General features: G+C 44.7%; 1 protein-coding gene across 20 annotated transcripts in view; it reads right to left on the bottom strand.

The window, feature by feature from the left end:
- Nucleotides 1–12,380, bottom strand: part of TJP2 (tight junction protein 2) — a 133,945-nt gene that overhangs the window by 32,140 nt on the left and 89,425 nt on the right. For 19 of the 20 annotated variants that reach the window (XM_011519206.3, XM_011519208.3, NM_001170414.2 and 16 more), the window contains 4 exons: nt 10,468–10,521; nt 6,606–6,730; nt 4,710–4,812; nt 1,573–2,182 (listed from right to left, as the gene is read on the bottom strand). In XM_011519206.3, coding sequence (XP_011517508.1) covers nt 1,573–2,182; nt 4,710–4,812; nt 6,606–6,730; nt 10,468–10,512 — 883 coding nt within the window. In that variant the 5' untranslated portion in view covers nt 10,513–10,521. Of the gene's footprint in view, nt 1–1,572; nt 2,183–4,709; nt 4,813–6,605; nt 6,731–10,467; nt 10,522–10,622; nt 10,711–12,380 lie in introns of those variants that run through there. The other variant, XM_047424094.1, reaches the window with a different exon arrangement.

Below are 12,380 nucleotides of genomic sequence, written 5' to 3'. Positions count from 1 at the left end.
AAGACAGAGTCTCGCTCTGTCACCCAGGCTGGAGTGCAGTGACATGATCTCTGCTACTGCAACCTCTGCCCCTTGGGGTTCAAGCTATTCTCCTGCCTCAGCCTCCAGAGAAGTGGGGATTACAGGCACCCACCACCACGCCCACCTAATTTTTGCATTTTTAGTAGAGATGGGGTTTCATCATGTTGGCCAGGCTGGTCTCCAACTCCTGACCTCAAGTCATCCGCCCACCTCGGCCTCCCATAGTGCTGGGATTACAGGTGTGAGCCACTGCACCCGGCTCCACCCCATGGTTTCTGAGCTGGTGGGACTGGGTTGGGCCTGAGAGTCTGCATTTCTAAGGGGTGCCCAGGTGATGCACTGCTTTGAGAACCACTGGTCTCCTAGTTTAAAGCCAAAATTCTGAAGCCTGGCTCTTCCAATGATGACACAACTTTGTGTATATCAATGAACCTTTTGTGCCTCAGTTTCCTTGTCTATAAAATGGAGAAACAAGAGTCCTCCCTCATGAGGTAGTTCTGAGGATTAAACGAACGAATTGGTGTTAGGCATTTAGGTCAATGCTGGGTACAATGCTGGTTAAGTGCAATTAAGAGATAGCTCGGCCAGATGCGGTGGCTCACACCTGTAATCCCAGCACTTTGGGAGGCCAAGGTGGGCAGATCACCTGAGGTCAGGAGTTTGAGACCAGCCTGGCCAACCTGTCTCTACTGAAAATACAAAAATTAGCCGGGCGTGGTGGCAGGCACCTATAATCCCACCTACTTCGGAGACTGAGGCAGGAGAATCACTTGAACCCAGGAGGCAGAGGTTGCAGTGAGCCGAGATCATGCCACTGCACTCTCCAGCCAGGGTGACACAGTGAGACTCTGTCTCAAAAAAAAAAAAAAGTTAGCTGGCCAGGTGCAGTGGCTCATGCCTATAATCCCAGCACTTTGGGAGGCTGCAGTGGGCAGATCACCTGAGGTCAGAAGTTCAAGACCAGCCTGGCCAACACGGTGAAACCCCGTCTCTACTAAAAATAAAAAAATCAGCCAGGCATGGTGGTGCACGCCTGTGATCCCAGCTACTAGGGAGGCTGAGGCAGGAAAACTGCTTGAACCTGGGAGGCGGAGGTTGCAGTGAGCCCAGATTACGCCACTGCACTCCAGCCTGGGCAACAGAACAAGACTCAAGACTCCGTCTCAAAAAAAAAAAAAAAAAAAGTAGCTATTCCTGGCCAGGCGTGGTGGCTCATGCCTGTAATCCCAGCACTGTGAGAGATTCAGGTGGACGGATCACCTCAAGTCAGGAGTTCAAGTCCAGCCTGGCCAACATGTTGAAACCTGTCTCCACTAAAAACATAAAATTAGCTGGGCGTGGTGGCGGGTGCCTGTAGACCCAGCTACTCAGGAGGCTGAGGCAGGAGAATCACTTGAACCCGGGAGGTGGAGGTTGCAGTGAGCCGAGATCACGCCACTTCCCTCCAGCCTGGATGACAGAGCAACACTTTCGGGGGAAAAAAAAAAATTAAGAAAACAAAGGTTATTCATATCACAACAGTGCTTTTCTTCCCACATCAAGCATGCCTACCTTCGTTCGCTCTGCTTTTCATCAGGAGGACCCCGATGGGCCCCGGCCGCCCCCTAGGCTCGGGGCTGGGGCTCCGTGAGTGCGGGTGCTCGCGGCTGCGGCTTCGGGGTCCCCGAGAGCGGGCATCGTGGCGGGCCCCGCGCCTGTACTCCGGGCTGTAGGCCCGCTCGTAGTCTGGGTCGTAGGCCCGGTGATAGGCTCGCTCGTAGTCCTGGTCAATGCTCCGGCCGCGGCTGCGGTCACGGTCCCGGTCCCGGGATGGCCCAAAGTCGTGGTCCAGGCCCCGCTCCAGGCTCCGGCCACGGCTGCGGTCTCGGGTGCGCGCATGGTCTTGGTCCAGGCCCCGCTCCAGGCTCCGGCCACGGCTCCGGTCCCGGCTGAGGTCCCGCTCCCGGCTCCGGGCCCGCTCATGGGGACGCCCCCTTTCCGGGCTGTCCTCCCAGCTGCGGCTGCGCCCCCCATGGCTGTTCAGCCGGCTCCTCTCGCTGTAGCCACTCCGGAAACTTCTGCCATCAAACTCGTCCATCACCTCAAAAGCCCGGTCATCCTGATCCAGGGGAGGGCTGGCCTGAAGTGCGGCCACCTGGACCTTCCGGGGCCTCTTGACCACCTGTTGTCAAAACAAACTCAGTGTGGACGCAGGACAATCACAACTGAATGTGGAGAAGGCAGTGGTTAAGAGCCCTGGTTCTGGTTTCAGGAAAACCGTATCCCTGCCGACTCACTAAGGTTCAGGTTCCTCATCCGGAAACGGACAATAAAAATCTCACAGGGTTAGAATAGGACAATGACCGTGAAGCTCTGAGTACAGGGCCTTGAATTAAGGTAATAATAAAATAGTATCTCCAAAATCTGCTTCTACTCAAGTTTGAAAAGTCTCAGAGGCCCAAATCACTAAGTTATAAAACTCAAAAAACAAAAATCCAGAAAGTGTGACATTCTATACATAGCTGCCAAGGGGGCAAAGGCGGATAAAGAGAAGTTGATTGATGGGTACAAATATATGGTCTGATAGAAGAAATAAGACCTAATGTTAGATCGGTAGGGTGACTACAGCTTACAGGAATCTACTGTACATTCCAAAATAGCTGGAAGAAAATAATCTGAACGTTTCTACCATAAAGAAAAGACAATTATTTAAGGTGATGGATATTCCAAATACACTGATTTGAATTTTACAAATCATGTCTACAGCCATACCATCCTGAACGTGCCCAATCTCATCTGAATTTTACAAATCATATTAATGTATTAAATTAATCACACATACCCTATAACTATGCATTATGCATAAATTTTTAAAATTTTAAGGAAGAAAAGTCAATGCCTTATTTATTTATTTATTTAATTTATTATTAAGACAAAGTCTCGCTCTGTTGCCCAGGCTGGACTGTACTCAGCTCACTGCAACCTCCGCCTCCCAGGTTCAAGCGATTCTCGTGCCTCACCCTCCCGATAGCTGGGATTACAGGCGCACACCACCATGCCTGGCTAATTTTTGTATTTTTAGTAGAGACGGGGTTTCACCATGTTGGCCAGGCTGGTCTCGAACTCCTGACCTCAGGTGATCTGCCTGCCTCCATCTCCCAAAGTGCTGGCGTGAACCACTGAACCTGGCCCAATGCCATTTTTAAAGTGGGGGGTGGGGTAGAGGGGCAAGGGGAAAGAGGAACCCTTCTAGATTAAAAGGAACTAAAGAGATAATGATTAAATGCAATGAGTGAACTTTGGATCCTGGATAGGGAAGAAAACATATATCAAAGACATTTTGAGAGCTGCGTATGGTGGCTCACACCTGTAATCCCAGCACCTTGGGAGGCTGAGGTGGAAGGATCGCTTGAACCCAGGAGATCAAGATCAGCCTGGGAAACACAACAAGATCCCATCTCTAAAAATGAAAAAGACATCTTGAGATATGGACTGGATTTTAGATAATACTGTAAAATTATTACTTTTCTTAGATCGGATAATAGTATTATATAGATGAATGTCCTCATTCATAGGAAATGCATGTGAAGTAAGTAGAAATGAACTGTCATGTCTGTAACTTTCCTTCGCATGGTTGCCCAGAAAGACATGAGTGTTTATATACATACAGAGACCAAGTAAAGATGGCAGAATAGTAATATTTTAGAAGATAAATGTTTATTACACTGATCTTTCAACTTTCCTTTTTCTTTGAAAATCTTCATAATATAAAGTTGAAAAACATTAAATACCATATATGTGGCCGGGTGAGGTGGCTCACGCCTGTAATCCCAGCACTTTGGGAGGCCAAGGCTGGCGGATCACCTGAAGTTGGGAGTTCGGGACCAGCCTGACCAACATGGTGAAACCCCGTCTCTACTAAAAATACAAAATTAGACAGGTGTGGTGGTGCATGCCTGTAATCCCAGCTACTCGGGAGGCTGAGGCAGGAGAATCGCTTGAACCCAGGAGGCGGAGATTGTGGTCAGCCAAGATCGTGCCATTGCACTCCAGCCTGGGCAACAAGAGCAAAACTCTGTCTCAAAAAAAAAAAAAAAATACACACACACACACACAACCATATATGTGGGTATATGCCTACTAGCATTGCCCCTAAGCACACTTTATTACCATTCTCACTGTGTGTGTCTACCTGCCCCACTGGAGTGAACACATCTTGCAACACAGATTGGCCCCAGGGCCTAATGGCATCCAGCTCACAGTTGATTCTCAGCCAGTGAATGAATGAAGGAATAGATGAATGAAGATTATAGACAGTCTTCTAATGAAACTCTTAGTCTATGAAGATATAATATACCTTGCTTGGGCCTTTACAAGTGAGTTTTTGAGCTGAAAGTTTTTTTCTAAATTAATACTATTTTACCAGTATTCTGAATCTAGCTAATTCTCTTAGGGAATAATTGCCTAACTTGGTTCCTAAGGCAAACTAACTCAGATCAGAGAATCACTGGCCTCAGGAGAAGACACAAGGAAAAGTAGGAAGATAACTTACACATATCTTCACACCCCTCCAAAAGTACTGAGGATCCAAGAACAGCGGTCCCTAGGTTATGTAATTCTGTCAAATGCTTAAAAGCAAGGGGTAATTTTCTTCTGGGCAAAAAACCAAAATGCTATTAAGGCAAGCTGAAAGCAAACCCAGTACTTACAATAGCAGCGACCTTCCCACTTTTTCTGAGCTGCTGAACTGCAAACGAATGAAGCACATCCTCCATGGGGGTGCCATTGACCATGACCACTCTGTCATTTTCTCTGTAAACAAGAAATAAAAATGGGTCATGAAAAACTCCCATCTATTCATTGTAAATTATTTATTTAGGAACAAATAGAAGCAGCAAATAGACCTGAAAGGCTTTCTAAAGGGCTCAGTGTCTAGTGGCGCCCAAGGCCCAGTCAACTTGGCCTGAGATCTTCCAAAGAAAGGAACTGGGGGCCATACAGCTCAATTCTGAGTGTCTAAATGGAAATCATCTGGGAAGAGAGAGGCCTGATCTCCCCAAACCACAGCATCACACCAGGAGGTACTTGATGACGGTGAGGTCTGGACACAAAAGGAATTTCTCTATCAGTCCCCTATTGCCTGAGGTGCACGGTGGGCTTCAGAAAAGTCTAAAAACACTCCTTCCAAGTAGGTGTATATCCATTTGTGCTTTTGTGCAGGAAAAGGGCTTGCCTTGGATTCTTAAGAAATTTTGAGATCACAGAATCCTATTGTTCCAGTTCATCCCAAATATTACTTTAAAATTTTGCATTTCTCCATATGAAAGACTACTAACTTTGATAAAACTATAGAGACTTTCTTAACTATAATTTTATTTTTTAAGAGGCATGGTTTCCCTCTCTCACCCAGGAAGGACTGCAGTAGTGTGACTGATGATAGCTCACCGCAACCTCAACTTCCCGAGCTCAAAGGATTCTCTCACCTTAGCCTCCCAAGTAGCTGGGACCCGAGTAGGTACATGCCATCCCAACAGGGTCTCACTAGGTTGCCCAGGCTGATCTTGAACACCTGGCCTCAAGCGTTCCTGCCACCTCAGCCTCCCAAAGTGCAGGATTATAGGCGTGAGCCACTGTGCTTAGTTCACAGAGGCTTTAAACACCAACAAAACCTAAACTTTTGAGCTATTTATCCAATGCAGCCATACAGTTAACTTTAGACTTCGTCCTGAGAAGTTATCCTGTGGGAATCAGGCATGTATCATGTAAAATGGTGTTACCAGCTGGGTATGGTGGCTCATGCCTGTAATCCCAGCACTTTGGGAGGCCGAGGTGGGCAGATCACTTCAGGTCAGGAGTTTGACACCAGCCTAGCCAACATGGCGAAAACCCGTCTCTACTAAAAATACAAAAATTAGCTGGGAGTGGTGGCAGGCACCTGTAATCCCAGCTACTCAGGTGGCTGAGGCAGAAGAGAATTGCTTGAACTCGGAAGGTGATGGTTGCAGTGAGCTGAGATCGCACCACTGCAATCCAGACTGGGTGACAGAGCAAGACTCTGTCTGAAAAAAAAAAAAAAAAAGAAAAGAAAAAATTTATTAAAAATTAAAATAAAATGGTGTTACTTCTTCAGGTCAGAAAGCTGGCAGTTGGAAAACTTGTGGTTTTCCTATAGTAAATTGTCCCAACTTCCACATCACTCTTACAAATAAGATAATCAATAAACCAAAGTCTCCTCATTAAATTCTTAAAGAATATAAATTAAAACAAACATAAACAGTGTTGGTTAAGCATCGGGGTTGAGAAGCATGCCAATTTAAAACTCCATGTTCAGAAATGATTCCTAAACCTAGGAGGGATGTTTGGAACTATCTTCTTACGGAAACAACTGCCCTCCTCGCTCCAAAGCTGGGGTGTTCCCAAGGTTTGGGCATTATTCAAACATGGTGTGTTATGGCTTCCATTCCAGCTTGAAGACTTTTCAAATATTATATAAAAGTTTGTTATTTTTTTCTTTTTTTTAAATAAAGTGGACACCAACCAAAATACCCCGTCTAGGGCCAACCAGTAGGGCTGGTAGGGGCTGCGGAGCGAGGGAGGACACTCACTGGAGCAGCCCATCAGCAGGCCCACCCGGGAGCACATCAGAAATGACAATTGACGTTTCTCCATTTTCAAAGTGGGGGTTGTCTCTGCCTCCGGACACTGCAATTCCAAATCCTCTTTTGGAATCCTGTACATCAGAGAGGAGAAATATTAAAAATCCTTCAATAAGTGGCTTTCAGGATTTATTACAAGCACTCAATAAAATAAAGGTCAAATCAATAACCAGAGACTGTTCAGGAACAGATGGGCTTACAGAAACAAATGAGAAACAAAACAAAGCATAGTCATTGTCAGCTGACAGGTTTATAAAGGGAAATTCCTTATCTGAAAGAAACAGCCTGTAGAGGCTGGAAAAGATTGATAGTGCAGACTGGAGTTATCACTAGAAGCTGGCCGGGATAGGAAACAATGTCTTCAGTCCAAATAGGGACGTACTGTTTGAAGCACCAGTTGTACCTCTTTGCATCATGCTGGCCCGAGCTGGAACAACTTCAGTAAAAACTGAACCTGTACTAAAACTGTATTTTTTAATTTTCAGATTTCCTTATTGTATTTGTTTTTTAAGAGACAGAGTTTTGATCTGTTGCTAGGCTGGAGTGCAGCGGTGTGATCACTACTCACTACAGCCTCAAATTTCTGGGCTCAAATGAGCCTCCTGTCTCAACCTCCCAAAGCACTGGGATTACAACAGACAGCCATTGTGCCTGGCCTGTACTGTAAATATTTTTAATTCTTCTGTATATTGTGATGTTTTGACATATTAAAAAAAAAAAAACCTTCTGCCTAGGCTCATGGCTCATGTCTATAATCCCAGCACTTTGGGAGGCCAATGCAGGCAGATTGCTTGAGTCCAGCAGCTCAAGACCAGCCTGGACAACATGGCAAAACCCTGTCTTTACTAGAAATAGAAAAAAATAGCTGGTCATGGTGGTGCACATCCATAGTCCCAGATACTTGGGAGGCTGAGGTGGGAGAATCACCTGAGCCTGTGAGGTCAAGGCTTCAACAAGCCAAGGCAGCTTTTGCACTTTAAATTGGGCAAATGGAGAAGTCTCTAAAAAACAAAAAAAAAAAACCACAACTTTCTAGCTGGGCGGGAAAAGACTGCTCTTCCCAGTGCTAGCCAATCCTTTTTAATTTTATTTTTATTTTAGATTCAGGAGTACATGTGCAGGTTTGTTATATATGTGTATTGTCTGATGCTGAGGTTTGGGCTTCTAATGATCCTGTCACTCAAGTACCGAACACAGTACCCAAGAAGTAGTTTTTCAAACTTTGCTCCTCTCCCTCCCTCCGTACTTTTGGAATTCCCAGTGTTTACTGTTCCTGTCCTTGTGTCTGTGTGTACCCAATGTTTAGCTCCCACTTCTAAGTGAGAACATGCAGTATTTGGTTTTCTGTTTCAGCATTAATTTGCTTAGGATAATGGCCTCCAGGTACATTCGTGTTGCTGCAAAGGACATATTTCGTTCTTTCTTATGTCTGCCTAAAATTATATTTTTAAAGTATACCTTTAACTTCAAAGTAGATGTGTTGGTAGTTTCATTTCAACATACAGTGAAAAAGAAGTAAATGGATTTGTTTGTTTTTTTTTTTTTTGAGATGGAGTCTTGCTCTGTTGCCAGGCTGGAGTGCAGTGGTGCTGGCTCACTGCAACCCCTGCCTCCTAGGTTCAAGTGATTCTCCTGCCTCAGCCTCCTGAGTAGCTGGGACTACAGGCATGTGCCACCACACCCAGCTAATTTTTGTATTTTTAGTAGAGAGACAGGGAGGGTTTCACCATGTTGGCCAGGATGGTCTCGATCTCCTGACCTTGTGATCCACCTGTCTCTGCCTCCCAAAGTGTGGGGATTACAGGCGTGAGCTACTGCGCCCGGCCCGTAACTGGATTTTAAAGATAAAATTTGAACGTAAAATATGTGTTGAGATCTCATGAAAAGCAAAGCACTAAACCCTTTTCTTCATGCATGGAAGATCGGAAATAAGATTTATTACATCCATGATCAGTCTAGCAATGCACAATGGTGAGCATAGATAATACATAATCCTAATTCATTTGTGTTTTAAAAAGCTAAGTCTGGGCCAGGTGCGGTGGCTCACACCTGTAATCCCAGCACTTCGGGAGGCCAAGGCGGGTGAATTGCTTGAGTCCAGGAGTTCGAGATCAGCCTGGCCAACATGGCAAAACCCCATCTCTACTAAAAATACAAAAATTAGCCAGGTGTGGTGGCACACCCCTGTAATCCCAGCTACTTAGGAGGCTGGAGCAGGAAAATCACTTGAACCTAGGAGGTGAAGGTTGCAGTGAGCTGAGATCATGCAATTACACTCCAGCCTGGGCAACTGAATGAGACTCCATTTCAAAAATATATATATGTATCTAAGCCCAGTTTCATCCAGATAATATGAGTATATTTGACTGTATATTCTTAAATCTGGGTTCGATTATATAAAAATTTACTCCGAGACTAAAAGAAAATCTTCCTTTCCAAGGAAAGTTTCCCACGTGAGGCCCACTATGCTGACTGATTATACACAATTACAAACTCAAAACAGGTTGGGGGTGTTGTCTATTAATCACATGGCTTTGAATTTGGCAGCACCACCAGCCGGCACCTGGTTTTAGACAGAGGCAGCTCCATCCTCTATGCCAAGCCTAAAAAAATCTCTGACCTCTGCCAATTTTGGGTCCACAACTCAAGGAATGCATGAAATGCTCAGGGAAAGGGCAGAGGAGAGTCAGAAAGACGAGGAAAGTTGAAAAATAAGACCTAAGCAGACAAAACCCCTCAAATGAGGAAATTGTGATTACTGATCTGGAAGTCTGGGTACCTGGGCACTGGCCCAGAGACATTTTTTTCTACCTGGATTAATTCAACAAACATTAAATTCGGGAATGTCTTTAATTTTCATAGAAGACAAAGCTTGAAGCTCACAGTTCTGAGGGTCAAAGGAAAACTCTTCCTATGAGGAACTTATGGTCCCTCTAGGAGATGTCAGACCTTGGAGGAATTCAGAGCCAGAAGAAGAAACCCTGCAGAAAAACCAGGAAAATCACAGTGATGATGACCGGAAGGCAGCTTGACGGAATAAAAATGCGGAACCGTCTGGGCACGGTGGCTCACGCCTGCAACCCAGCACTTTGCGGGCCAAGGTGGGTGGATCACCTGAGGTCAGGAGTTCGAGACCAGCCTGACCAACATGGAGAAACCCCGTCTCTATTAAAAATACAAAATTAGCCGGGCGTGGTGATAGGCGCCTGTAATCCCAGCTACTTGGGAGGCTGAGGCAGGAAAATTGCTTGAACCCGGGAGGCGGAGGTTGCGCTGAGCCGAAATTGCACCACCGTACTCCAGCCTGGGCGACAAGAGTGCAATTCCGTCTCAAAAAAAAAAAAAAAAAAAAAAAAATGCAGAACCACGAGTGCAGTTCTCCAGCTCAGCCTCACACAAATGACTTACAGTCTCTTGGATGCTACACTTTTTAAGAGTTATAAGGTATGTATAATATGTCATAATTAAAATTACAGAAGTTGTAAAAAGCTCCCTCCACATCCTTAAACAGTACAGGTCATTTTCATTCTTCCCTTTCTTTTCTCTCTTTCATAACCTGTTCTAGCTGGAGATAAGAGTATACACTAAATAACCTCTAAAATGTTCCATACTAAACAGTCCTTAATCAAAAAATACAATAGCATGCAAATCTTTGTTAACATAGCAATTATTGCCAGTTAGTATCTATAATACATTATGTACCTCAAGGGAAAAAAAAAGCCAAAACTGTGTGTAGGTGAAAATAAATAAGATCCATGATCCGTAAAATCAAGAACATGACTGTAGAATATATGAAATGTGCAGAACTCACCTTTTGTAGGGTCACAGTGTACTGTTCCCATATCAGCTCTTCCATGCCTGGGGCCTGTTTTAAAAGAACAAAACCAATCTGATGAAAACCACAACCTTTTCAATGCTAGAAATAAAATTATCATTCAAAATGCCTCGACATAAAGTCCAGCTCACACTTTCTATACCAAAAAAGAGTTAATATCTGTTCATTATGCTACCTATTTTCAAACACACTCTCCTTCAATGAAATGAAACTAGAAACAATACTTGAAAGGTAAGTGAAATACATAGTGAGAGACAGACCCTAAAAAGAATGGAATGTTAAGTGCTGAGTCCTTTTATTATCACTATTCCAAAACATTATCATCATAAAACCCCTTTAAAAATATCTAGTTTCAAATAGATTCTTTTTTTAAAATCATTCTCCCCCTCTTCCTGTCAAAGGTGACCTCGTAGGCAAGTTTTCTGCATGTTTATGTCTAAAAATATCCTTAGCCTTATCATAGGGTATGCCCAATTGGGTGATCTGCGGGATCTTTCGGCTTTTTCTCCATCTGTATCACTGAGTATGAAAGATGAATGTCTTCATAAATAGACCACTGGGACTTCCATCTCTGACAATATTCCAAAGTAGGTATCCAGAAAAAACTACAACTGGTGGTATCATTTTAAAAATAATAATCCATTAAATGCAGGCTGCCTGTGAGAAAGCTAGAAATGCCAAGAACACTCAGAACCACAGAGATAAGCCAGCACTGAAGCAGGCATTTAGAGGAGGCTGGGGATCCAAACAGGGTGGGAGATCAGGTCTGGGTGGATCTATTAGGGGAAAAAAATACCAGCACACAGATGGAGATGCAGTGACTGTCTCATCCTTGGCTATGGGTAGAGTGGAAATAACTAAAAATAAAACCCTGGAGAATTTCTATCAACAGACCTGTATTCACACAGGTTTGGGCGTTCATATTACAGACGTGACCACACCCTGCCAAACACTCATGCCTACTGGGGCTCTGCACTGGCCATACCACCAAGTACACAGAGGCAGATGCGAATCCTCTCCAGAGATCACACTCAAACACAGCCCTCAAAGATTCCCCAGATAGTATGTATCCAAGGAAATGAGCCCACAATTTAAACATGCACATCACCATGAGTGAGAGGTAAAAGAAACATAAACTGAAGAATCAAAGACTTTAAATATTTGAAATACCAGCCACAGACAAAAATGGAGTATCTATAATATGTGTATATGTTGGTTTTTTGTTTTGTTTTGTTTTGTTTGAGACGGAGTCTCGTTCTGTCGCCCAGGCTGGAGTACAGTGGCGTGATCTTCACTCACTGCAACCTCCGCCTCCCAGGTTCAAGCGATTCTCCTGACTCAGTCTCCTGGGTAGCTAGGATTACAGGTGCGCACTACCACGCCCGGCTAATTTTTGTATTTTAGTAGAGATGGGGCTTCACCATGTTGATCAGGCTGGTCTCAAACTCCTGACCTTGTGATCCACCTGCCTCGGCCTCCCAAAGTGCTGGGATTACAGGCATGAGCCACCAAGCCACCCGGACTATGTGTTTATGTTTTAAGAAATTAGAAGAGGGCTGGGTGCAGTGGCTCACGTCTGTATTTCCAGCACTCAGGCTGAAGCGAGAGGATCGCTTGAGCCTAGGAGTTCAAGGGCAGCCTGTGCAACATAGTGAGACCCCATCTCTACAAAAAATTTTTAAAGTTAGCCAGGCATGGTGGCACATGCCATAGTCCCAGCTACTCAGGAGGCTGAGGCGGGGTGATCAGTTGAGTGCAGGAGTTTACGACCAACCTGAGCAACATAGTGAGACCCCATCTGTATATTTAATAAGAAAAAAAAAAAAAAAAAAAAAGAACTCAAAATACCTGAAAAAGGCCAGAAGAAGAGATCTGTGCTACCAGCAATC

Source organism: Homo sapiens, chromosome 9 (assembly GCF_000001405.40).
Source record: "Homo sapiens chromosome 9, GRCh38.p14 Primary Assembly".
Lineage (NCBI taxonomy): Eukaryota > Metazoa > Chordata > Mammalia > Primates > Hominidae > Homo > Homo sapiens.
Note: the sequence above shows the minus strand (reverse complement) of the source record. Positions and strands in the feature narration are given on the sequence as shown.